At 45.2% G+C, this 26,776-nt stretch overlaps 1 protein-coding gene across 6 annotated transcripts in view, besides 2 other annotated features; it reads right to left on the bottom strand.

Annotated features, from left to right (window-relative positions):
• The window catches only part of MVB12B (multivesicular body subunit 12B), a 180,212-nt gene that overhangs the window by 45,711 nt on the left and 107,725 nt on the right, over positions 1-26,776 (bottom strand). For 3 of the 6 annotated variants that reach the window (XM_017015275.3, XM_017015276.2, XM_017015279.2), the window contains one exon: positions 12,921-13,188. The exons of 2 other annotated variants lie outside the window; for them this stretch is intronic. In XM_017015275.3, the coding sequence (XP_016870764.1) occupies positions 12,932-13,188 (257 nt within the window). In that variant the 3' untranslated portion in view covers positions 12,921-12,931. One more of the 6 variants, XM_017015277.3, reaches the window with a different exon arrangement.
• Positions 8,991-9,492: an enhancer, noted in NCBI's record as "H3K4me1 hESC enhancer chr9:129214117-129214618 (GRCh37/hg19 assembly coordinates)". NCBI's record gives its function as "activates a minimal SCP1, AML or CMV promoter by ChIP-STARR-seq in primed H9 embryonic stem cells {active_cell/tissue: H9 hESC(primed)}" and the evidence as "EXISTENCE:reporter gene assay evidence [ECO:0000049][PMID:30033119]".
• Positions 22,870-25,209: an enhancer, noted in NCBI's record as "VISTA enhancer hs186". NCBI's record gives its function as "enhancer in: midbrain (mesencephalon)[6/8]" and the evidence as "EXISTENCE:transgenic organism evidence [ECO:0001131][PMID:17130149]".

Raw genomic sequence — 26,776 nt, 5'->3', positions numbered from 1 at the left:
TGGGAATCTACGCAAGCTCCTCTCCAGCAGCGTGATTCAAAGACAACAGAGAGCAATCCCCGTAGAAGCCACCAGGGCCAGCCTTCGGCGGTTGTGGGGGTGCTGACGGCCATGCACAGGCCCAGGTGGGGACAATGGAACTGGATCAAGGCATCACTCCTGGCCTCCACGGAAAATGAAGAATGGGTGGACTTCTCTTCCTTATGAGGTTCCAGTTTCTGTTTTCCTGATCCCTGTGAATAGCTCTGCCACCCACCTGGATGTCTGGTCCCAAGGCCTGGGAAGAACAGGGACCTGTCCCCAGACCTCATAACAGTCACCAGTCCTGTAAATCGCAAAAAGGGTGGTGGTGGTGACTCAAAACGTTGTTCAAATGCTTGCTCTGCGCCAGGCTGTAGTCTTGGGGCTTTCTGTGTATTGACTGATTTAATCCTCAAGGCAACCCCATGAGGGATGTGTGTATATTATTATTATTATTCCTATTTTACAGAGGCCACTCAGGCAAAGAGCAGTTAAGACACCTCCCCAGGAGCACCTGCCAGCAGAGGTGGAGCCAGGGTTGAACCCAGGGAGTCTTCTCATTCCATCTGGCCATCACTCTGGAACTTGCCCTCCTCCCCACCTCCACTGGCCGCTACCACCCCCAGCATCATCTCCCCAACATGCTGAGGCCTAAATCCACCCTTTGGCCCTCCCTTCTCCAGACCCCGGTCAGGGAGAGGCGATGCCCACCCCTCTGACCTGCCGTTGGCTGCTTGGCTGCTCCTGGCTCCACATCTCTACACAGGGGATAGAGAAAGAAATGGAGTCCGAGCAGATGCTTCTGCAATAGACGGGAAGTGCAGCAGAAGCAGAGCATCTGGGGGCATCTCCTGGCATGACCAAGAGCACAGCTGGATGTGAGCTGAAGCAGAGACGTTAGAATTCTGAGGATAAACAAATCAAAGAATGTGGGAAGATCTGAGCCAGAAGTTTAGTTTGGCGACTTATGTTGTGGAATGCTTTCCTTTTTCAGATGGAGACACTGAGGCCCGAGTGCCTGTGACCTTCCCAGGAATGTGTCCAGCAAGGCGGCAGCAAAGTTGCCTCATTGTGCAGTGAGTGCTGGTCACCTGCATGGTGACGGAGCCTTGTCCACCCTGCCGAGGAGGTCTGAGCAGAACTACAGCCAGCAAGAGCAGCTGGGCAGAGTGTTGCAGGCCCAGCGGCCAGGGAGCACACAGTCAACTGATTTGGGGACCCCTAGGGGCCCCCTCAAGAAGATAGGCAGACATCCTCTAGAGCCACTAAGACTGAGTTATAGAACACTGCAGAGGCCACGGCTGGGGAAAAGTGGTTTCAAATGGGAGCCTCAAATTCAAAGTCCAAAGCACATGCCCCAAATCGCAGGGGAAGCTGCTTCCCAACAAGAGCGGCTCCACTCATGAAACCCGCCTGTGAAAACCATTACTGAGCCCCGGAGCCCTTTCTCTCCCTCGAGATGGGTGGGCTGAAGCTGGCGATTCTGACTGTGAGACAAGCGGCCCCTGTGGGAGAGTGGCAGGTCCAAGTGAGCGGGGCAGGCAAGGATGGGTGCAGGTGAGCGCGGCCCCTGTGAGCGCTGTAACAACTGCGCACTCCAAGCTGCCCCACATCCAGAAGAGGCATCCTTCTGCTCCAAAACTCTCAAACCCGCAGGCATGCCACAGTCACCTGGGCTGCGTGCGAAAATACACATCCTTAGCCCCAAGCCTCCCGAGGCTTTGGCTCTGGGACCTCAGACACAATGGCACCATGAGAAATGCTGCTGTGGGCTGCGTGCCCGCGTGCTGCTGGGGTGAGGGTCTCGTGGTCTCACAGGCACAGTTCTGTGAAGCCTTTCTGAAGCAACAGGACTCTCCATTACCCGGAAGGACTAACCATGCTAGGGGCAGGCAGTGATGCAGCTGCGTCTTGGAGACGGCTTTGGACTTTGTGCCAAGCACCATGCTAGACTGTCCCCATGGGTCACAGTCCCCTAAGAAAAACACAATTGGCCTGTTTTATGACTCAGAGAGGCAAGGGAGCCATGTGTCAGTCAAGGGGAGGCCTGCACTGGCACCACTCAGCAGGCCAGGCTCGTGACACTCTGAGTTTACGACAAGGCATCAAGAAATACCAGTGCCAAAGCACAGCCAGGTAACCTACTTGCCAACTGATTACTTTTTCCTTAGTATGTAACCCAACCTGGGGGTTCTCTTAGGTCCAGACCTGCTGTGATCTGAGCCCTTAAAACTTGCAGGATGAAAGGAACCCTCAGAGATCCTTGGTCATCTGAATCTATAGGCTTAGTGAGTTTTCTCAGCACTCAGGGTTTTTAAGGTATTGACTTTCAGTAATAGAAAGAAAGAGAATAAATTCAGATGCCTTGTGAATGCCTTTTCTGGATTCCAGACAGAGGGTGTTTTTTCGGTCTCTCTCCCTACCTAACTCAAAGTGAGCTCTTCCTATTTTGAAGCTAAGGAACACAGTATTTCTAACTTGTGCTGGATTCTTGATTTCCTTCCTTGAACCTTTCTGTGCTTCCCTGAGTAATGACTTCCAGCCATTTGAAAATCTGCCCTGAATTTTTTCAAGGGACTCTGGTCACAGTAAAGTATAAGAAGGACACATTTCAATGGAACCTAACAGCCTAGAAAGATACCAATAAGCCAGGGCTGCTGTCGCAACCAGGCGGGACAAACTGCAGGCTGGAATGAGGGGGAACCACCATGAAACGCAAGGCCCAACAGGAGACCTGGCGCCTGTTCTTAAAAATACTTTCCCTAAAGCCCCAGGGGAAGAAGAATATCACGTGAATCCAAAAGAGCAGACCCTCAGGGAAAAGAGAAACCCAGCAGGCAGGCAAAGTTAAGAGCCAGTGTTGAGTGAGGATGCTGGCTCCGGCCAGGGGTCAGAAAGCCCCCCAAAAGGAGCAGCCCAGAGGCCCCCGAACAGCCTAGAAATAATAGGTTTCTCAGACACACACAAACGTGTGGTGTGGTGCCTGACAGGGTTCCTAGGGGTTTCACACCCATTATCTCATTTGTCCTGGTCTCTATCCTGGGCCTGGTGAGGCTGAGCCTGGGCACAGAGACGTTTACCCGCTTGCTCAGTGTGACCTGGTGGGCGAGTAACAGAACCAGGTGTTGTCTGAATAGGGGTCTCCTGACTGTTACATAATCATTTATTGGGTCAGTGGAAAAACCGTTTGAGCAGAGACCTGGCAGGGACCTGACAATCAAAAGTCAAGGTTGCCCCGTGGTGAGGGAGAGTGCAGGGCTACTGACGGTGGGGTCCAGGAGCTCAAGGAGATGGTGAGAATGGCTATTCGCTTTCTGCTCAGTCTTTATTGTGAAAAAGTCCCCAAATCGTCTTTTGCCAGACATACTTTGAAAGCACAAGCTTTTTGCTCGCTTTTATTATCTGGTTTTGGTGGAGAGGGGCTCTCAGCTTGACTCCAGCGAGGCTATTGGACAAGCACCAAGCCGTGATTTCATTTGTGCCTAAGGTTCAGAAAACACAAGGTGGCCTTTAAATGTTCTGCCTGTAAAATCCCAAACACATACCACCCGTTCTCCCTCAGTAGAACGACAGGCGACGCGTCCCTATTTTCATTCAGTCTCAACCTGTGTTGTCTGAGGTGTGACAAAATGCGGAGAAAATGGAAGTACTGGCAACCGCATCCTCACACCTGAAATCTGACTCTCTGGGACCTGAGACTCCAACATCCGATGGGTACACTAGAAGCCCAATCTCTACCCGTACACAACATACAGGTACCCCCAAATCTAAAATATAATAAAATAATTTAAAAAAATAACATTCATGGTGGCTAGGATTGGTGGAAGTCTTGAAGGTCATGACATAAACATGTCACTGAACTTGGCACACACTGGGGTTCCTGGAGCAGGCGTGCCTCAGTGGGGAGTTGGGCCAGTGAGCGAGCCAGTCAGATGCAGCTCCCAGATTTCAGCCTGGCTGAGAGGCGCCCCACTTTTCTCCTGCAAAAGCAGTACCTCCCTTGAAGTGACACTTCGTCTCTTTATTTTAAAAAACTGATCCCACCCAAGAGCCAACTGCTAATGTTGGTGATGGAGGGAAGAAGGGATCCCAAAGGTCTAAGAAAGGGGAGAGACTTGGCCGCAGTGTGGGTAAGGGAAGGAGCTGACATCGATTAAAAAGGGGAGGGTGGGCTGAGGGCGCAGCTCAGCTCTACTCTGGGAGGAATAAGCCTGCCACACATGCGATGTGGAAATGAGAAAGGGTTTGCGAGCCTAGTGCAAGGGCTTCTGACTGTGGAAGAAACTCTGGTGAGAGCTGAAGATCTGGTTAAACTCGTGGGGTGAGGGCATGAGCAGACGGCACAGGACTCTTGACACTGCTTCAGGACGAAGCCGGGGCCCATACGTAGACTCCCAAGAGGAAAGGAGGTTCCAGAATTGTAAGACGCTTACTTTTTCTTTTATAAACTGAAGTTAAACAGGGGCGCTATCAGCAGCCTGCTGCTGGTGAAGTAATTACTAGATCAGCTGAAGAAACTCGAGGGGAGCATGGCTCTTGCACAGAACACCCTGCAATGCAGATGGACATGGCCTCTAGGAAGGAGATGCCTCAGACCCCATATCCCAGGAGGAAAAGGAAGCTGCGCGTTCAAGGTGGCCAAAGAGTAACTGATCCTTTCCTCTCCCACTCTCAGGCAGTCTTTATGATTCAGTCAGGCTTCAACCATATTCCGAGTATCTGAGCTGGAAGCAGGGAGGGGCAGGATGAGAACCCCAGCCAAGTATCCCGTCAGCTTGTTAGAAAAACCCTGGGGCTTGGCTCAATTCTTTTTTACAAAAAGAAAACTCACAGTTAAAATCATTATTAGCAATGATGTAACATATAAATTTATTTTAGTGACAAAATTTATTTAAATAACTTTATGAATGATGTCAGTTTTTATTTATAGAACCATTAGTTCTAACAAGTTCACCTGAATGTTTCATATCTACATTACTACATTCTGTGGGAGAAATCGTGTGCGAAAGAGCTATTTTTAAATTTGGAGATTTGGGAATATCTTGGAGGTAAGTATCCAACAAAAACATTTAAGGTCTAATTACTGTATTGGGAAGAGATGTTCAAGATAACCTATCAGGCGGGGCGTGGTGGCTCATGCCTGCAATCCCAGCACTTTGGAAGGCCAAGGTGGGCGGATCACCTAAGGTCAGGAGTTTGAGACCAGCCAGGTCCAACATGGTGAAACCCCGTCTCTACTAAAAATACAAAATTAGCTGGGCATGGTGGCGGGTACCTGTGATCCCAGCTACTTGGGAGGCTGTGGCAGGAAAACTGCTTGAATCTGGGAGGTGGAGTTTGCAGTGAGCCGATATCACACCATTGCATTCCAGCCTGGGCAAAAGAGCAAGACTCCGTCTCAAAAAAAAAAAAAAAAAAAAAGAAAGAAAGAAAGAAAACGACCTATCAAAGTTTATTGTCTTAGAACCACCACGACAGCAAAACTGTAACAGGGAGCATTAGAGGCTCAAATACCCACTTCAGTCAGGCTTAGTGGTTTGCACGCCTGCAATTCCAGCACATTGGGAGGCTGAGGCAGCTGGATCACTTGAGCCCAGGAGTTCAAGGCCAGCCTAGGCAACATGGCAAGACCCCATCTCTATAAAATATCAAAAAAATCAGCTGGGCATGGTGGCACACGCCTGTGGTTCCAGTTTCTCAGGAGGCTGGGGTGGGAGGATCACCTGAGCCTGGGAAGTCGAGGCTGCAGTGAGTGATGATCTTGCCACTGCACTCCAACCTGGGCAACAGAGAAAGACCCTGTCTCAAAATAAATAAAATAAGGGCCAGGCACGGTGGCTCACACCTGTAATCCCAGCACTTTGGGAGGCCGAGGTGGGTGGATCACGAGGTAAATCGATCGAGACCATCCTGGCCAACATGGTGAAACCCCGTCTCTACTAAAAATACAAAAATTAGCTGGGCGTGGTGGCACGTGCCTGTTGTCCCATCTACTCGGGAGGCTGAGGCAGGAGAATCACTTGAACCCGGGAGGCGGAGGTGGCAGGGAGCTGAGATCACGCCACTGCACTCCAGCCTGGGCGACAGAACAAGACTCCATCTAAAATAAAATAAAATAAAATAAAATAAAAAATAAAATAAAATAAAATAAATTCACCTCTAGCCAGCTCGCAGGGTCTTACTGGGAGCTGTGGGTCTTACTGGGGAGAGAGCTGAAGCCCGCTCACCTTTAAGGGGCCTAGAAATAGGGTTTTGGCCCAGGTAGCCCTGCCAGGACGTGGTTCAAGATCCTTCCTGGAATCGCCATCATGGTGCATGCTCGCTCATCCCCGGAGTGGCTGCCCTGCGCACCCACAGGCTCACAGGAGGGAAGGGAAGAAAGGGCTGCCCAGTATTCCTATCAGTGGAGTCTGGTGGAGAGCGGCACGTGCATCTCTGTGGTGTGTTGTTACCATGTGTCAAAGCATTTAAAGAACATTGATTAAGGAAGCATTTTCCTGGCTGGTTAAAAAAAAAAAAACTCAATTATGGTCATCGACCCCTACCAGAAGGCTATTCACTGTATTACGTGGCATGCACATTATGCAGTGCTTAACAAAAGTAAAATGAAAAAGAAGAGGAAAACATTCACTTCCATCTCACTTATTTAGTTGGGTCTTTATGGGGCTAAAGCCATGCAGGGGTTAAAAAATGCAAGGTCCATACCCCTGGCCACTGCAAATGTATCCTGATGCTTGAATAGGGCACTCCTTTGGCTAAGACCAGGGGCCACCTTTCTACTCGCCCAGCCCCAGGCCACCTGGGTGTCCCGCTTACTGAGCCCGAGGCTCAATGGGATTAGCTGCAGAGTGGTAAACAATGCCTACACAGGAAACATTTCTTCCCATTAACAAAAAAATCAATTCTGCCCCACTAGGCTCTAGCTGAACACAAATGAATTAGGGGGATGAAGGAAAGAGGCTGGAACAACACACTATTGGTGGTTGTGAGCTGGTGCAGCATTTAGGAGAACAAAGTGGAGGCACGGTGGGACCCTGGTGGGTCAGGGCAGCAAGGGGCAGGGTGAACACATTTTAACAGCCAAACTTCTCCTTTCACACATGTGTAAAACCTTTGGAATTCCATCAGAAAAAACTTTATTTCAAAACTGATCTTTGAAGTTTGAAAATAAAAGAAGAAAGCCTATTTCTCAGTACAGAAAGCAGGTTTTAAAATGCTGAAGGGACCAAAGGGAGGTGCTAGCAGGTGGTGGTGGCACTGACTCTGAGGTCCATGCCTCTCCTGTCTCCCGGTGCTCTCTGCTTTACCGCGTCTGTTTCTCACTTAGACTTTCCCTGATGGGACACCAGACTTCCATCTTGCCTCTCTCATTGTCTTTTGCCCTGTTGGGGCCTGGTGAGCCCTTGTCCCAGCCCTGGAAGGTAATCTGGATGGTATCCTTGATGATCCAGAGAGGAGGGGAGGCCACCTGTGTATATGTCATGTGTGCACACATGTGAGCATGCACACGTGTCATGTGTGCACATATGCATGTGAGGCTGTGTGTCACATGCAAGACCATGCACACGGTATGTATGTACACGTGAGAGTGTGCCACACGTGAGTGTATGCATGTGCCACGTAACGCATGTGAGATTGTGTCCATGTACGAGTTATGCACATGTGAGAAGGGGCATAGTGAGAAGAAAGAAACCGCAAGAGCCTCATGGGCAAGCAGAGGCTGAGCCTGTGTAATGAACACCTCTTCCAGGAAGCAGCCGGTGATACACAGGCCACTGCTGTTGGCAACGGATTCCTCTACAGCCCACACAGGCAGAAAGAAGTCACTAGGACCTCCAACCTCAGGTATGAAAACAAAACTCCATACTTGAGAAGGGAGAAGGGGCAAACAGCAACACTCCTGAGCTCTGGGAGTCCCTTCTGCCCAGCCAGGCCCTGGTCTGCTCCGGGTGCTCAGCTGCTTCCCTGCTTGCAGCTGGACCTTTCACCCCTCCCCTGCTTGCTCACCCAGTTGACAAGTTCATGTGTCCTTGACAATGCACTGGGGTGGGTGGGGATGCTCACGGGGAGGTGGCACGTCTGTGGGGTTTTCTGGCAAAAATAGATGCTCACTAAAAACCCGCTGAACTTGAAGAAATAGGGATTTTATCTTTCTCACATATTTCACAGCTGACAAAGCACTTTCAGCAAGTCTTCTCTTAATTAGTCTTTACCACAATCCCGGGAGGCAGGCATTTTCAGCCCCTCTTGATAGAAGACTGACTTGAAGCTCAAAGAAGGTGAGGGGCTTGTCTCGGGGGCAGAGCTGGGACTTGAGTCCAGAGCTTTTAAAAATTAAACCTCATTGTCCTACAGCCACTATTCCCCACCCTGTATTAGCAGGTCACTTATTTCTGAGAAAGAACTAGACTGCAATTTGCAGAAATGGCTGGAAAATAAAGGGCCATGAAGTGCCTAAGCATTTCATTTATTTTTTCTTTCTGGCATCAGTTAGCAATTACCCTTGAACTTCCCTTCCTTCCCTGCTTCCTAAGACATCCCAATTACTTCAGCCAAAAAACTCACCCAAACTCCCAAATCACCCCCACCCCCAACACCCAAACATCCAGGTCAGCAAGATCAAAGGCATGGGGGAAATGGGCTCTGACAACTCTTTCTTTCCTCTGCCGGGTTCACACACTTTTCTCACTTACTAACTGAGAACAGAGAGGCTGAACAGCTGCCTTGTTATTTCCAGCAACATTTGGGATAGAACCAATTTCCAGTCTGGCCAAACGACCTGAGGCCCTGCTGAATGTGTTGCACCGGCTGCCCCCAAATCACCAAATGGACAGCGCTCTAACAGGGAACACATTTCCCCAGCTCCCAGGCAACCCCGTGGGCCCGCAGGGTCTGCACACGTCTGGAGCTGAGTCCCCAGTGCTGGTCCGAGCTGAGGAGGGAAAGCCTACCAGGCTCCAAGGCAGGGCCATGTCTTCTTTACCTTTTGTGTCCCAGATTCAAGTAGAATGACCAGCAAGTAGTTGGGGCTCAGGGCTGGCTGAATGGCCTCCACGTGAACACCAGGAATTAGGCTGGGTCTATTGTTTAAAATGCACATTCTCCCTGGGAGCCCTGGTTGCGCGTGCCTGCACGTGAGCACACGCATGAGCTGAAGGCACGGACTCACATTCTTCCTTTTTTCATCTCCTAGGGAAAAAGTAGGTGCATCTGCTGGTGCCTGACACAAGGATCCCCTGCCTCCGACATGCACAGGAGCTGCTGGGAATGGGGTTGATGGTACGGTTCAACTTGCACATAACTGGTGAGCGGGGCTAAGGAATGAAACAGTGGGACTTTCATAACCACCAAGCCCGCGGCATTCCAGGTGTCCTCAATCAGACAACCTGCATGAAATTTACACAGAGACTCGGCAAACAGCTTGGGATCAGTCACACGGCTAACCTAATCTGCTCTTCATATTCCACCTGGCTTTTCATTGCTTACCTGTGACCAGAGGCTGTGGGTTCAGGGGCATCTTTAAAGCTAAATCAGAAAGATAAATAAACCCCCTCCAGATGACATGAGTCCCGGGCACCCACCCAGGACCCTTGTGCCTCCTCTCTTCCTGCTTCTGGAAGGTAGTGGGAGGGTCGTGTCCCACCACGGAGTTCCTGCAGTGCCTCATCCCTCTGTCCAGCTTTTTGGCCCCCCTGTCCCGGTGGGTTTGAACTCCTACTGCTTTGGGAGCTGGGGATAGGGAGATGCAGCCTTGACCATTCCCCTGGGCTTGAATCCAGTTCTCACAGAGCCTTGCTGTCTCTGGTCTCCAGGGTTCCTGCTCAGAGCCTGGATGGGCTGCAGCTCTTGGGATCATTTGCTCGAGACCCTCTACTAAGTACCCCTGACCTGTCCCTGACACCCTCCTCCACCTGGAGGTGCAGCAAAAGGCCTAGGCCTTTGAGAGAGTCCCCTCTGCACTGCTTCCCAGCCATTCTCTACAGTGGTGAGCACCTACCGTGGGCAGGGCCATTTTGCAAGCTTTATTTCATTTCATCTTCACTGCAATTCTTGAATGAGGCTTTTCATGCCTCCATTTTTGTTTCTACAGTCAAAGACGCTGAGGCCCAGATGGTGAAGGGCCTGACTCCCTATGGCAGTGGTGGTGTGAAAGGCAAGGCTGGGAATACTCAGCCTGCCAAGCCTCTTCCTCCTCCTCTGACCCCTGCTCTTCTGGTGATGCAGAGATGCCACCTAGGGTGGAGTACGTGACCTTGCTGTCCAGCACAGCCCCAAACACAGCCACTCACCGCAGAGCCCAGTCACCATGGGAGAAAGGCCAAACAGTGCCGCTTCCCTCCCTTAATGTGTCCCCTTTTGGGCTGGGTGGCACAGCTGGTCTGCACCTGCAGGGCTGAAGGACATCCCTGGGATACAGGGTGTCATTCCTCCTGCTTGATCTGCCTCCCAAAACCCAGCCCTGAGCAGGCAGCAAGTGCCCTTTCAGCCTCCGCTGCACCAGCCTGAGCCGGAATCCCAGCTCTCATTAGCTGTGTGATTGGGCAAGTTGACTGAGCTCTCTATGCCTTGGTTTCTGCATCTATTAACTGGGATTAATTATATCGACACCTCTTTGGGTTGCTATGAGACTTGAAGAGAGTTTGGGTGAAGCACTCTATAAATGCTAGGTAAGTGAGTGTTATTAATTTCCCAAACGTGAGAAAATGACCAACATCTGTTCTGGCACCCCTCCATCTCTATGCCCTCCCCACCAGCCCTATCAAATGCAGTTTCCTGTAAATAATCCTCACATGGGGATGGAGCAGGGCCGGGGAGGGAGTACATCCCTGGTCCACAAGGCTGCTGTGACATGACAAATAAGCTGCAGGCTGACAATGTCTCCAAGACATATTGGAGTTTACTTTGTCATTTGGGCTTGCCATCTGTGTCACCCCAATGGGGGCTAGCTTCCCAGGCTGCTCTGGGAGCAGGCGGTAAGAGTCCACTAGTCCCCGGACAGATCTGGAAGCTCAGCCGGCCATCCATTAGGCTGACTAATGAGAGGAAGTGGAGCTTGCCCACCGCCCACCTGGGAGCCAGACCTTCCTTCCCAGGGAGGGCCAGGGGCTCTGCTCTGCACAGTGCAGGGAGCAGCAGGACTCATCACCTGATGGGCCCTCCCAGGCTTTGGGCATAGGCGAGACCAGACTGCGACATGAACTTGACTGCAGAGCTCTCACGGTTAACTCTGATGTTAGATGTGAGGAGGCCAAGGGCATCTCTCATGGAGTGCTCAGCCTAGGAAATGAGACAGCAACTTAAAACTAAGAGTGGAGGAGTGAGAAAGCCTACTACGGAATTCCGTAGGAGGCACAATGAAGGCACCCATGGGCCACTGCCTTGATTTGCTGTGTGATGTTGGGAAAGTCACTTAACCTCTCTGAATCTCGGTTCCTTATTTGTAAAATGGGAAGTGGAGTGGTTTCAAGGATTAAATGAGTTTATATATGAAGGTGACTTAGCTCAATAAAAATTGATTATTATTCCTGAAACCAAACAGACACAAAAAGTCACTTGCTTTTCCATGGTAAGGCCAGTCAGGAGAGGAAAAAAGCCAGTCTCTCGCTGCAGGTAATGATGTAACAGTCACCCCAGCCTAAGCATACCTGCCCATGGGACTCAGAACATACTGGGCCCAGGCCAGCCCTGTCCAGGTTCAGAAATATTCCTATGCCTCTGGGCAGAAAGGAAGTGGCTAAATTTGCTGAAATTAAAGGCTGTCCTTATTCTTAACCATGAAGAATGACTCTCTGCCTTCCTCTGGAAATGAGCCTTAGCAAGGAGGTGCTGTGGGGGGTCACTCTCATCTGAAACCACATTAATGACAGGAAGCCAGGGAGGCCAGACCTGTCTGTCAGACAGCAAACCTGCAAGGGAAAGGGCCTGCGGGTCTTCTCTACAGCCGTTGCCATCTGCCAGGATGGTTCTGTGGACTGCAATACGTGCTTGCGGCCACCGAGCCTTCTCAACAGAGGGACCAGCACATCCGACTTCTGCAGGTTGTATTTGTACCGGTGGCAGGTCGCATCCAGTTGGTGTGTGGGGGCCCCGTGTGCTCTGAGCTCCCACTCACTGCCCGGGGCTCTCTGCCAGTCCAGGCCCCAGGGCTGGGCACATGGGAGTTTCCTCAGTAACTGCCCAGTGAACGAATGCCCCTTGAGAGACAGGTGCAAGGAACTGGGCAGCTGACGGGAGCATTGGCAAGTTATGGGATCATGTCCAGCCAGGGAGGCAGCCAGTCTCTAAAACCCCTGCCCTTCCTTCTATGCCACGCTGCCTAGCGCTCTGGTGTGGGCCCCTGGAGTATCATCAGGGAAGATGGGAAGATTTCAAATAAGCACTTCCAATGATCAAAGTTCTGGGATGAGGCTTGATATGGTTTGGCAGTTTGTCCCCTCCAAATTTCACGTTGACATGTGATTCCCAATGTTGGAGGCGGGGAGCCTGGTGGGAGGTGACTGGATCAGGGGGCAGATCCCTCATGAATGGTTCAGCACCATCCCCTTGGTAATAAGTGAGTTCTTGCCCCATTAATTCACCGAGATCTGGTTGTTTGAAAGGGCCTGGGACCTCCCCCTTCTCTTTCTCTTGCTCCCGCTCTTGCCATGTGATACATCGGCTTCCCCTTTGCCTTCCACCATGATTGGAAGCTTCCTGAGGCCCTCACCAGGAGCAGATTCTGGAGCTTCCTATATAGTCTGCAGAACCGTGAGTCAATTAAACCTCTTTTCTTTATGAATTACCCAGTCTCAGGTATTTCTTTATAGAAACACAAAACGGCCAAACACAAGGCTCTTGAAGTAATTTTTAAAAAGTGAATTAACTGGTCTTTCATGGTGAACCATAAGAATAGAAGAGTCTAGTAGAACAATCAGCTCTTTAATAACAAGGTGATTATTTGGCAAAGAACGGCTCTGAGCAGGGCTGGACTTGCAGCATATGTGTGGTCTCTCAAGGGGCATTCATTCCCTGGGCAGGGAAACTCTGAAAGCAGGGCTTGTGCCCACAGCAGGGGATGAGCTGGTGGAGGGCCTTGAGAGGCATAGCTCAGGGTGTACAGGAGGCTGTGGTGCTCACAGGATCCAGCAGAGGAGGACAGGAGCTGCCAGGGAGGGCTTCTGGGAAGAGCTGGAGACACAGACAGGTCAGAGGCTGGCAGGGATGTGGTGGGGAACAGGAGGGCTCTCTTTGGTGGAAGAGACAACCACAGCAAAGGTGGAAAACCCCTGGAGGAGAAGCCTCACCTGGCCAGAGCAGAGGGAGGAGGAGGGGCAGCACTCAGAGCCAGGGCCACAAGGGACAGGAGCACCATGGAACTTATGGCCAAAAATGCGAGATGCGACAAAAGGGGAATTCTATTTCGATGAAGAGTAAAATACATAATAGACCTTTAACCGTCATAAACCTTCATGGCCTCAATAACACTGCATAGGAACATACAAAATAAAACCAATGATCAAAATGATACTGACATGAGAAGAACTGTGCAAAACAAAAGCTACCATTGTTTGGTCAAATTGAATGAATGAATGTATATATCTATATGGGGGTATACATACCCATCCATCCTACTTGATCAAAAAACGTTGATGGTGGGAGTGTATCTCAAACACTGTGACAGAGAGAAGATGTGTTTTCAAGTATCAACGGAGCATTTAGTAAAACTGATATATCTATTAGACTGCAAAGACTAAATACACTTGAAAAAACAAAAAATTATAGAGGTCATATTCTCGGATAATTACATAATAAAAGTAGAAATTAAGGTTTCAAAAATTACTTAGAAATGTCTTTTCTAACACTTGAGTCAAAGGGATAATCAAAACTGAAATTATGTATTTATAAATAAATATTATATATGAAAGCTACAGAATGCCACCAAAGCAATATACAAGAATATTTATATAACCCTAAACACTTTTATTAAAAATCAAAAAAGGACAGAAAACAAATGAGGGAACCACTCAAGGGAAGCTATTAAAAAAGCTAAAATAAATAGAAAGTTAAAAAAAAAAAAAAAGGTGGCTGGGGGCAGTGTGGTTCATGCCTGTAATCCTAGCCCTTTGGGAGGCCGAGGCAGGTGGGTCACCTGAGGTCAGGAGTTGGAGACCAGCCTGGCCAACATGGTGAAACCCCATCTCTACTAAAAATACAAAAATTAGCCAGGCATAGTGGTGCGCACCTGTAGTCCTAGCTACTCAGGAGGTTGAGGCAGGAGAATCACTTGAACCTGGGAGGCGGCGGTTGCAGTGAGCCAAGATGGCACCATTGCACTCCAGCCTGGACAACAGAGTGAGACATTGTCTCAAAGGAAAAAAAAAAAAAAAAAAAGAAAGTTAAAAAAAAGAACTAATACAGATAAAAATTTATTAAATAGTATAAAGCAAAAGTCTAATGGCTTTATAAATTTAAAAAGCAGTTATTTGGAAAGACAAATAAAGCAAATAAATCAACCAAGAAAAAGAGAGAGAAAAATAACATCAGGATATATATGACTATAGGTATATTAATTTTAAGATAAATACAAACTCTTAAGTAAAATTTTGTACCAATAAACTTTAAAATTTAGATGAAATTTAGGTGAAATTGCTATATTTTCTTTAAAAAAATACACATGATAAAACTGGCTCAAGAAAAAGTAGAAAGCCTGAAAAAAATCACTAATGCTGAAAGAAACTGAAATAGTTGTCCATCTCCTCAAAATGCCCCTAGCTTCCAGGTCCACATAGTTCAGACAGGATTTTTTTTTTTTTTTTTTGGTGTTCTTTTTTCCCCAAAATGAACAGCCATTTAAATATTTTAGAAATATTTTTATATTTGAAAAAAACTTAGATCACACAAAAATTACATTTTGATAAGCAAAAAGCCTAATCTTACTTATATAAATGCCCAAATCCTAACTTAAATAGCAGTGGCTCAAATCTAGTACTATATTTAAAGAAGAATGCACCATAATAAAGATTGATTTCAGAAATATAACAATAACTTTCTAAATGCTAAATCATCAAAACAAAATAATCTGTATCTGTCAATAAGTGAGAAAAAATATTATACTACATTAAAATATTCCAAATTTTTTTATATGAAACTCAAATTAGTGCCTGAATTTATTAAAAAAAAAATCTTTGGAAAATAGGAATAGAGAATGGGTCCTTTAATACAATCAAGCCCTCTCTCCTCCAAATTCCCCCAAATCTATATCAGACTTAACCATGGGACACTAGAAGCATTCCCATTAAAGTCAGGAACCAGGTAAGAATGAAAACTACTGCCACTGCTTTCAATGTTTTAGCCAAAAATACAAAGCAAGAAAAACCAATGGTGTATAAATGTTATCAAAGAGACAAAATGATCTGTATTTGCAGATGATGTTGTCTTCCAAGAAAATCCCAGTAAATAAACTGGAGGCTATTGGAAATAACAAGCATACAGAGAGGTGGCCAGTTACCAAATGAAGATTAAAAAAAACAACAGGGCCAGGTGGAGTGGCAGAAGCCTGTAATCCCAGCACTTTGAGAGGCTGAGGTGGGAGGACTGTTTGAGGCCAGGAGTTTGAGACCACCCTGGCCAACACAGTGAGAACCCCCATCTCTAAAAAAGAAAAAAAAAGACCCAACAATATTAAATTAAATATTTAATCACCAATGAAAACATAATGGGCAATGCAGGCTGGGTGCGGTGGCTCACGCCTGTAATCCCAGCACGTTGGGAGGCCGAGGGGGAGGATCACTTGAGGCTAGGAGTTCAAGACCAGCCTGGCCAACATGGTGAAACCCTGTCTCTACTAAAAATACAAAAATTAGCCAGGTGTGGCGGTGGGTGCCTGTAGTTCCAGCTACTTTGGAGGCTGAGGCAGAATTGCTTGAACCCGGGAGGCGGAGGTTGCAGTGAGCCGAGATCGCACCACTGTACTCCAGCCTGGGTGACAGAGTGAGTCCCTGTCTCAAAAAGAAACAAAACAAAAACCAAAACCAACATAATGGGTAATGCAACAAAATTTAAAACTTAGGAATTATATAAACAGAAAGCAAAGAAAACTATAATATGTTACTGAATAATATACAAAGACATTTGAATAGAGAGTTATATCTCTGGAAGGAAAGATTGGATATTTTTCTAAATGACCACTCTCCCCAAATTGACTTATAACTTCAATGTTTTTTTCAATCAAAATCCTCAAAGTATTTTCCTTGGAACTTAAAGTGATTCTAAATTTCTACTGGGTAAAAAAGTTATTATTACCTGGAACATTCTGAAAAATAACTACAAAGAATAGTAAGATAAGAAATTAAAATACATACATTTATAATTATTAAAAGCGTGACCCTCCCATTGGAATATGCATTCAACTCAATGGAACACAACACAGGCCACAAAATACATCACAGTAAGAGGTTATTATAGGATTGTTTTCCAAATGAGTTGGTTAAAAGAAGATTATTTAACAAGTGATGCTGGGACAATAATAAATAATTTGGAAAAACATAGATTCTTATCTTGTCACACATCAAAACAAATCACAGCAGAACTTTAGATTTAAATGTTAAAAAAAATGAAGGTACTAGAATATACCAGAAAACCGAGAAGGCTTTTCTAAAACGTGATGGCAAAGACACAAAACATAAAGGAAACATGAAATGAAAGTACAAAGCAGAAACTGGAAACAAGCGGTAGTAATGTGAGAGCAAAAGAAGGCCTTGTTGCAAGAGGAGCTCCTGCAACTCCACAAACAAAATTAAGACTGCAATGGAAGAGATGCTGCGGACAGACAGGCAAAGGTCTCGAGTAACACAAGTGGCTCAACACAGGCAACCTTAGCAGTAATCAAAGAAATGTAAATTAACAATAAAATACCCCTTCACCTTCCAATTGATAAAAATTAAAAAAAAAAAATTACCAGTTAGCAAGTCTTGTGTGGAAAACCAAACCAAACAAACCTCTTTCATACATGCAGAAGTGTAAACAAATTCAACCATTACGGGGGACAATTTGTCATTATATGTCAAAATAATTAAAAATGTGTTTATATATTTATTTAAAGGAACATTCACCGAAGTATAACTTTTAGAAATGAAGATAATGTAAAAACTCAGCCACTGAGGACTGGCTAGGTAAAGTACATTGTATCCATAAGAGGGAGGATGATACAACCATTAATCCCAGCCTGACGACCACCTGACCTAATGACAAGGAACGAGGTACATGAACAGGTCTCAAAGCAGAATAGACACCTGGAGTGTTGGAAAGGAACAAATTCCTGATACATGCAATAACATGGAAGACTCTCAAAAATATTATGCTGAGAGACACACAAAGCTACATATTGTATGAGTCCATGTATATGATAGCACTGGGCAGGCAAGTGACTGCCAGGGACTGGCGATGGGGAGGGAAGGGCCGGAAATGGAGGCAAGTGAACTTATGGGACTCCTGGCTATATTCTGTATCTTGTTTCTGGAGGCGGCTATCCTGTAGTTTGACATTGGTCAAAAGTCACTGAAATGTGCACATAAAAAGCCTGGATTTTATTACATGTAAATATATTTCAATAAATCTGACTTAAAAAGAACCCAGAATGGACAATTAGGTAGACATACACTTTTAAGTGTAAACATATGGCATAGAAAAAGTGTTAAAAGGACATACACTGAAATACTGTTTCTCTGGGTAATGGGGTTGTGATATTTTCTTTCCAATGTTTTCATATATTTTGTAACTTTTCTACAATGAACATGTAACTTTTATCATTCAGGTAAGAAAAGCTTTGTGTCTGTTTTTTTATTTTTTAAAAGAGGAAGAAATATCAATGAACTGTTTGGTCTAGGAACAAACTTTTTATCAGGCTCTTACCGGAAATGACGGGTGGGTCATGCTCAGTTGGAACCTCAGTCCCTCCTACCCTGAGGCAAAACCTCTCAAGGCACCTGTTCTAGCCCCTGCAGGGTGCCTGGCCCTCAATGATTGGTGGAAGGATAGAGGGACAGGAGGTCCACCCTGTCCAACAGCTTCATTTTGCAGCTAGGCAAACTGAGTTCCAGAGAAAGGAATCACGGTCCCATGTTTGGAAATGGTCAAAATGGGGCTTAAACCCCAGAAAGTAGTGCTACTTCCACTGTGCTGAACACCCATCAAAATCCCTGAGCTCTCCCAAACACCCCAGGAGGACACAAACTCTTGATGGGTTGAAGATAAAATTCTGCACAGGGAAAAGCTACAGACATTATCGGCCACCAGTGTTTTCTAGACTCTAGGAAGGTGCCTGATGTCTCAGATTCACTTATTTTTTTCCAGTATAATTACTGACTTTATATTTTTACAGCACACACTCACATTTTAAACTCAAAATAGCTTCCTCCAGTGGGTAGTGTCACCATTCCCGAGTATGTGTTCCCACTTCCCTGTAACAGTATGACCATCTGCCCACTGCCGTGTGAAAGGCACATTGGGGGAAGAGGATACACTTCTGCCCAACTCATGTTGGCCGGCTGTAGGCCTTGCCACCATGGCCAGAAGCTTTAAGAGCCACTGGTTGTTTCTTCCAGGTCTCACTCTTCCCTCTACTATAAAAATAGCAAGTTACAGTTGGGACCTGCTCTTTCAGCCTGGGTCCCAGAGTGCAAAGACACAAGGAGCAGGGTTCCAGCCAATCCACGGTCACCAAATTGGAACTTGAGTGACATGGTGATATATGTCACTCAAGTTCCAATTTACATTTCCAAGTTCCATTTTACAAAACAGTGAAACTGTAAGCCATTGTGATCTGGAGGGGTGTTTGTTACTGGCATGATAACCAAGCAAAGACTGATCAATACACTGACTTTAGTCCCATTCTGAACAATGATATCCACTGATAAGCTATTATGAATGACAGTTTTCAAAAGGTCATCCATGTCTACTCTAAAATCCACCCCACCATGAGTACATGGCTTTGGGAAGCATATGTCAGCCTGAGGGAGGAAGTTAGATAGAACCCCAGAAGATACAAAGAACCATTTCTGATGGGAGGAGCCTCTAGGGCCCTGCGGATAAAATTCAGAAAGGTCTGATTCTCCCCTGAAGAACTGTAAACTGCACCATTATTCTTTATGTGTGTTACTGCTTTAAAAGTACACATCAATTGTAAGACAGATCCAAAATTCAGAATTGTTAAAATACATAGGGAAAGTACATCTCAGATTCAAGGGATATAGGGAAGCATGAAAAAATCAAAGTCAAGGAGATGATTATGGGCTAGCTATTTCTCCAAGCAGTTAGCTCCATTATGAAACCCAGCAGCTACTAATTCTTAAAGCAAAATCCACCCTGACCACCTAAATATAAAAGGTCCTTGCTGACTCTACCACTATATAATTTAGTTATTCTGCATAATAGGTACCATTCAGCTATCTAGAACTTTCAGTCAGCTACATCATGCTCTAATCATTAATGGTCCACTTGTTTGGCTCAGGTAAATCACATTTGCATATGCAAATTACATCTAAATATTCTACACTATTAATGTTATCACTAATTACATAATAATGTTACCAATTTCCACATGGATCAAACTTACAGTTTTGTAGCTATTAGGGAAATTGTGCTTTGTAATTAAGATAATCCTCATTTCCAGATGCTAATTAACTATATAATAATCAGTCCCATTCACTAATGCAAATTGCGGATTTTCATCTTTATTGATAAAGGAGTGGCTTCTTATCGGTTAAGAAACGATAGCCCCAGAAATCTTGCAGAGAAATACCTTTCCTCCTCTAAAGGTTAAAAGGTAAATCCATTTTTATCAGTCTCATTTGCGAATGCAAATTAGGTCTGATTAATCAAGTCAAAGATAAATATGCTAGTCTTATTTTAGGACAGAATGTATCGCTTACTGAGTTCATCTCTTTTCCCCTTATAAAGTACACAGATAAACAGGGTTCACCAAACAGAAGTCTTCCTAGTGAGAGTAATTCATTGATGGTCAGATGAAAGCTCTGGGATCCGTGCCTCTCTCTATTATGCTCCCTTTTGTTTCGCCTTCAAGCCTCGCAGAGGAATCTGGAAATAGCTGTGTCTTAATGGTTCAGCCACAATGGGAATGAGTGAGAGGGTTTTGTGAGTAAATACAGAGGAAAAAGGGATAGCCACATTTGCTTGGATTATTAAGTTTTCTGTGCTCCAAACGGAATACAAACTGGCACCTCCCATCGTGACTAATGAGGGCTGCATCGGGAGAACAGAAGGGCTGACAGCCAGCGAGGCCTAGTTGGCAGGCCTCAGCCCAGGCCTCGCCGCATTCATCATCCGCTAAACCAATCCACCAATTCCGCACCACCATTTGTCATTAATTATGCTAATCAGCACACCATTACTCTCTGATGACACTGTAGCTGTTATTAGCTAGTTATGGCTTTCAAAAGCATAACTTATTGTGCATGCACGGGCTGTGCCTGCATTAGCCTACAGGGAAGAAATGTCCAATTATGAAAAGAAGAAATTTGCTATTATCTTTTTATAACAAACCAATTTAGTAATTAGAAAAGTCTCTGAACTCACTGGTTCTTTTTTTTCCTCCCTTAAAATAATTGAAACAAAAAAAAAATGTACTTTTCAATATTTCTCTGAAAGAGGGAAATACCAAAACAGATTTTTTTTGCTACACGTTTAGAAGTGGGGCCTGGAGAACAACTGTTTCACGCGTGTGAGGGGCTCACGGAGATTCCTGTTGGGCTTTTTTTTTCTTTCTGATGTTGAATTAGCAGGACTACTTTATTACATGTATTTCAGCTAGGATGAATGCCTGAAAGATGAAAGCACACCCATGTGACCTTTTACAGTTCACTCGTGGCAGAGGGAAGCTGTTTCACGTAACGATGCCAGACTGTGCACACCTTACCTGGCAGATGCTTCCACGGGAAGTTCAGCAACAGCCTCCTTTAACCCCTCACAGGCCCCAGTGCCACCGCCAAGGCTATCAGCGCCTCTCAAATAACCTTGGAGAGGTACTTCGGCCTAGTTAGCACATGTCCTGTGCACAGTTTGGGGGAGAAAAAAGACAGTACTCAGGCTGGCCGAAGAATGGGTGCTCTGGAGTCAGCAGCCAGAGCCCGTTACAGGAGGCCCCTTTCTGAAACAAGGCTCCATACAGCAAGGGGCTCGCGCTGACCCTCGAGTGTCTGCAGGACTCACCCTCAGGCATCTGTCCAAACCAGGCATTAATTCCAAGTTGTTGTGTTCAGGCTGGGAGTCTTTACCACTAGTTTTAGAAGCTTAGTCTGTATTAAGAGCTCATTAATATCATCAGAGTAAATGGGCCTATTAAAACATCTTTAAGCAATATCTGAACATAAATCTCCCTAAACTATATTTAATGACTGTACTTAAGATACATTATATGCAAGTCTTAATGAGACATTAGATAGCATTTTGAAGATTAAAATTAGAGAATCCATATAAAGTCTGTCCACTTAATGTAGCCTTAAGCTATACTGATGAAAGCATTACTACCAAATTATTACTGCATTAGAACAAATATTTTTAATCATCTCTGATTTATGCATTCTCTTTTTCATATAATTTTCATTTTCACAAAAATACATTTTGAGTTTACAGAAGAGGGTATGTGAAAGGTTTCACGTTTCTGAAGTTCTGGAGGTAAAGTGAATACAGAATTGAGTTGGTACTGTACGTGTGAGCGTGCTCTAGGCTCTGAGTCACATTTCTTCATGTTCGGTTTAATTAGTCATTCTAGTACTATTCGAGGCTTACTGTGAAATGTCCTTCAAGACCAGAGTAGATACAAAATAAGAGTTTAACCAAAAATATTCTGAAGACCAGAATATAGTACAAGGTACATGGTACAATCTGTGTGGTACTGGCAGTGCTAACATCTGGGTTTCTAACAGAATCTGTGTTTCAGGTCCCTGTGGAGACCCCAGACTCCCACAGAGCAACTCTCACCCTGCGCCCAGCGCCCCCACCCCCAGCAGACCCTGTGAGCTCCCTGCCTAGCGCCCCCACCCCCAGCGGACCCTGTGAGCTCCCTGCCCAGAGCTCTCAGAGCTCCCAGGTCTGCCACTTTCTGTGGCTTGTCTTTGTTTCTCCAGAGCCTGCTCAGAGGCATCAACGCAGGCCTGCTTCCACTCCAGGGCCCCCTGTATGAAGAGCAATCAGTGTTGCTGGTGGAAGTGTATTAAAATAAAAAAAAAAGTCCGATTCCCCCAGGGCTAAGGGAATCGAACCCTTTAAACAGATCCAAATCCTCCTCAAGTCTGTTCAAACAAGGACGTGTTCTCAAGCCTGTGGAATGGCTGATGAGGCGGACCAGAACTATCAGGAGCAAGCAGATGGACCTTGCAGCGATCGAGTATCATACACGGGATTCAACTCTACTTAAAATAGAAAGATAAGTCCCAAGTCTACACAAGTCCTGATAAGACTTAATATGTGATGGGCTCTTTTGTAAACAGGTCAGACTATATACAGAGAAATATTTTTCTATGGATTTACTGCTATATTTAAAATACCGCATATCCAAACAGGATTTCTGATGCAACAGAGAGCTCTCTACCCCTACCCCCACCCCACTGGGCTCTGGGAAGAGGTCCTCCCAAAGGACGGAAACTGCATCCACTCCTGCATCAAGGTGACAGTCCCTCAGTCCCATTTTGGAGTGAGTCGGCTGAGTACTTCATATCCCACTAGCAGCTGAGCCATAGAGAGAGTGTTATCTGAGAACCTGGACGAGGATCAGCCTACATGAATGTTACCTAGGGGTACACACCACCTGGACTTGGATCCGACACCAACACAAGGGCCTTGGTGATAAACAGACACTTTGGAAAATGTTAGAGACGAATTATCATTGACACCTTTAGACTTTTTTTTTTTGGATACTTTACACTAAAGTGTAACCACCTTTTATAAATGCTATTCAATTATGAAAGACTTTTGGGATTATGTAAATCAAGACAAGTCAACCAGTGACACCTCTGTTAATAGAATAAGATTATCTGGGTTTTTCCTTCTTCAAAGGAGAAAGTAGCACAATTTAAACACGCTGGTCATTAAAAGAAGGCTCCTCCCTTAGCATGTAGAATCTGCAGCAACAAGCCTATTTCCATTTGCTTTTTCCAGATATTCTCTCCCCAAAAGGAACTACTTCATAATACAATTTTGCATTTTTAACTGTATGAATTAGGCATTCTTCATAAATAACAGCTATGTTCTATACACAGGAGTTCCTTTTTATTAGGGACACAGTAATGAACAATGAGCAATGTGTTCTATTATTCTCTGTCAAATCACAAAATGCTACATTAGAATAACTGTGTTGGTCAATGTAATATAGTAGATTAAATTCAACTTCTGTGGAAAAACCACTGTAAAACAGCATGATAAGAAGGCTATAAAAAATTTAATTTTACTCCAAACTCCATCACAAAAAAAATGGTGTGAAAAGTAATTTTGCATAATCAGTACACGCCATCTGGAACAATTAACTGATTTCTATAGAACTATGAGGATCAGTCATATCTGCTTATTAAAGATCAGAAATTATACAAGTAATAAATCCTTGAAAAAACTAAGCGTACTCCCGCCTGTCAACGCTATTTTAACTTCAAATACTGAAGAACGCCTGATAAGGCTGAAAAGAAGAGATTAATATATGCAAATTACATCCAGCATTTAAAATCCCCACAACTGTCTCCGGTTTTCTGTCCCTTATTGCTGCCTTTATGTTTTATTCATACACCAACTCACCTGTCACTTCATAAGCTATAATATTATGGGGGTATTATTAAACAGCATAAAGCCGTGCTTTAATTGGAAAGCTTCATTGCATTTTCCAATTATTTGGAGTAAATTAAAAGCAGATGCACATAGTTTAATAAGGAGTCTAATATCAGTTCCGGGAAATCAAAATTCATTGTCATTACTATGCCGTGATAGTTTTGCAAACTGTACTCAATTTCAGAGGTTTTCAAAAGAAAATCTGTCTATGCAATCTGTTAATTGTCATTCGGTTAATAACTGTTTAAATATCCGAACTACATAGCAGCTTCCTATTAAAAAAAATTAAACTATGGAGTTTACGCAAGCAAACAAATACAGCATGCCACTCCTGGGCTGGGCTGGACTTTTCAGACTTGCCTGTTCACCCTAAAACAATGGGAAGGCTCGAGAAACCCACCCACACGGCAGCTCAGCTCCAGAGCTGGAGGACAAAGAACAGCAATTTTGTACTTCTGCAAGCACCAGAGGTTACAGTACCATAAGACAGCTCTCTGTGGAAGGGCAGAAGCCATGTTATAAATTGTGTTTTCAGAGGTCTGCTCTGCTCAGCAAAAAATTAGCTTCCAAAGTTTTAATTGGTCCACCTAAAATAAATTCTTTTAATGAGTAAATTAACTGATTCAGGACACAAACATGGAAAAAATTAAAGAAAGCAAATGTTGTGAGCAATTCGCTTTTAAAAAATTGACCCAGGAAGGGCCATTCCCTTACTAGTTCATGACTCATGAGTGGAGTGCCCCTTAGGCTCTGCAGGGGCCAGCCACTGTGCCCACAAGTGGACTGGACTGCCAGACAAAGGACTATATGCTGAGCCACTACGGATTTAAGGAACCAGACCTTAAAGGTTACTCTTCATAAGGAATCTTGCTCACAGATGTAGTTACAGCTCCACAGCTGCAAGTTGCATACATACACATACATGTAGCTAAAGCATTTACAAATGAAAAGTCATAGGTATACTCAAACTAGTACACGTAACCTTTTCACTTTTATACTAAGTGGCAGACTTTTTCAAATCCTGTGTGTGTAAATTATAATAGGACAAGCAGTAATTGACTTTGAAACTCCACCCACTGCGAGGGCTACAATTAATCTGTTTTTAGCATAAGAACTGCTGCTCTGCAAAGTTCATAACTTGTAGGTTCTTTTTCCCAATCCAATTAAAACCTAAGAGTGTTCCTAAAAGGCGGCTGCACAGAATTTACTCTTCAGCTCCCGTTTCAAAGGGCGTATCTGCTAACATCCCAATCATCAAAGGGCAAGCCCCTCCAGACCAGAAAGGACCCCAAATGCCCGAACACGAGAGAGCCTCCTGGCAAAATAACCAGAAACTATGCTCAAAGATGAAGATAAAAGCAATTCTTGTGCAGTGATCCAAAAAACAGCATCTCTTTTTTTCCCCAAAATTACCTGTTTTAATAAAGTAGACATACTGTGCCAACTGAACCATTTAATTATCTGCAAAAATGATGAATCAAAACAATAGTTTGCAAAAATAAATGACTAACCTCTGATTAAAATGTCTGTCCTCATTAAATCCAAAGAAAAGGTATGATCTCTTTTTAAAAAATGTAGCCTGAAGAAACAAGCAGTCCCCCCGCATCTACAGCCGTACCCTTCACAGTGGCAGTGACCTGCCATGAGACGGGACATCTGAGGATGTTGTCTAATCTACTCTCTCCAACCCTGAGAAAAGACGGTGTGCCCCTGTGGCCTTCGAGCCTCTGGGTGCCGCCGGCCTGGCAGCAAGTGAGCTCAGGGACAGGGGACTTCCAGATGATGTGCTCGGTGGGTGGTGTGATTCTGGAGCAAGGAAAGAAACTTTTTTTTTTTTTTTTTGGCTAAAATAAGAGGTTCTGGGAGGGGAGTGGTTGGAAAGGAAGGAGCCAAGGCCAAAGAGAAAGAAAAAGAAAGGCAAAGAAGGAAAATCATTTAAAGGGTTGAGTGCCGATATGATCCCTTCTCAAACCAGAGCTGACTTGATGAAAAGGAACATGGAAAATTGAGGCTGATTTAAATGTTGAGAAGTTCTCTCTTTAAAATCATTTTACCCAGTAGCAAGCTAACATCTCCAGCAATTACACATTTCTGAACTAGAAGGGAGGGTTTGCCTTCTATTATGCCAAAAGTTTCCCTGAGCCATGCCAGGTCCCACCATTCATGAGCTCCCTCTGTCAGCTGCACCCTCTCCATCCCCGGCTGGACTTTTAGGTGAGGTCACACTGCAGGGTGAATGAGACCAGTGCCTTCTGGTATAATAAGCAGCAATTCCCTGGAATAACAATATTTACGGCAGTTATAGCAGCTCCACTTCTGGAGTGCCCTCTTGGTACTAGGCACTGGGTATTTCATGTACATTATCTTTAATCCTCAAATTCAGAAGAGAAAATATAATTCAAAATTACAAAAAAAAAAAGAAAACAGACTGCAATGTTATATAAACTGTCTAAAGTAATGTAGCTGGAAAGGGTGGATACAAAAGGGTGAACCAGTTCTAAGACCCAGGTCCTCTCAGAATCAACGAAACATTGAGTGTCATGGAACATCCCCTGTATGCTAGGCCCTGGGCTGGGCATTGGGCATCAGGCACACACCAGTGAAGGAGACATCATCTTGCCCTCCAGAATGAACCCTGAACTCCACATGATGACCAGAGATGGATCTCCTTTCTTAGAACTCGGAAACCAAGCAAATGGCCAGAGTTTTACAAGAAGCATAAATAGCCAAGGGGTTTCCTGGCCAAAGAAGCTACGTCTTGGGCCTACAAAAGGCACTACCACCTTTGGCAAAATAGGGGTGAGTGAAGGCCGTGCAATTCATGAGCCAAGGACCTTCTCACAGGAGTGAAACTGGCGTTTTGCTACACAGGGCATATTTCAGGTAAACACACAGGCAATGGAACATAAAGATAGGTGTGTTTATTGCCTCTAGGTAGCAAGCGATT

Source organism: Homo sapiens, chromosome 9, assembly GCF_000001405.40.
Source record: "Homo sapiens chromosome 9, GRCh38.p14 Primary Assembly".
Lineage (NCBI taxonomy): Eukaryota > Metazoa > Chordata > Mammalia > Primates > Hominidae > Homo > Homo sapiens.
Note: the sequence above shows the minus strand (reverse complement) of the source record. Positions and strands in the feature narration are given on the sequence as shown.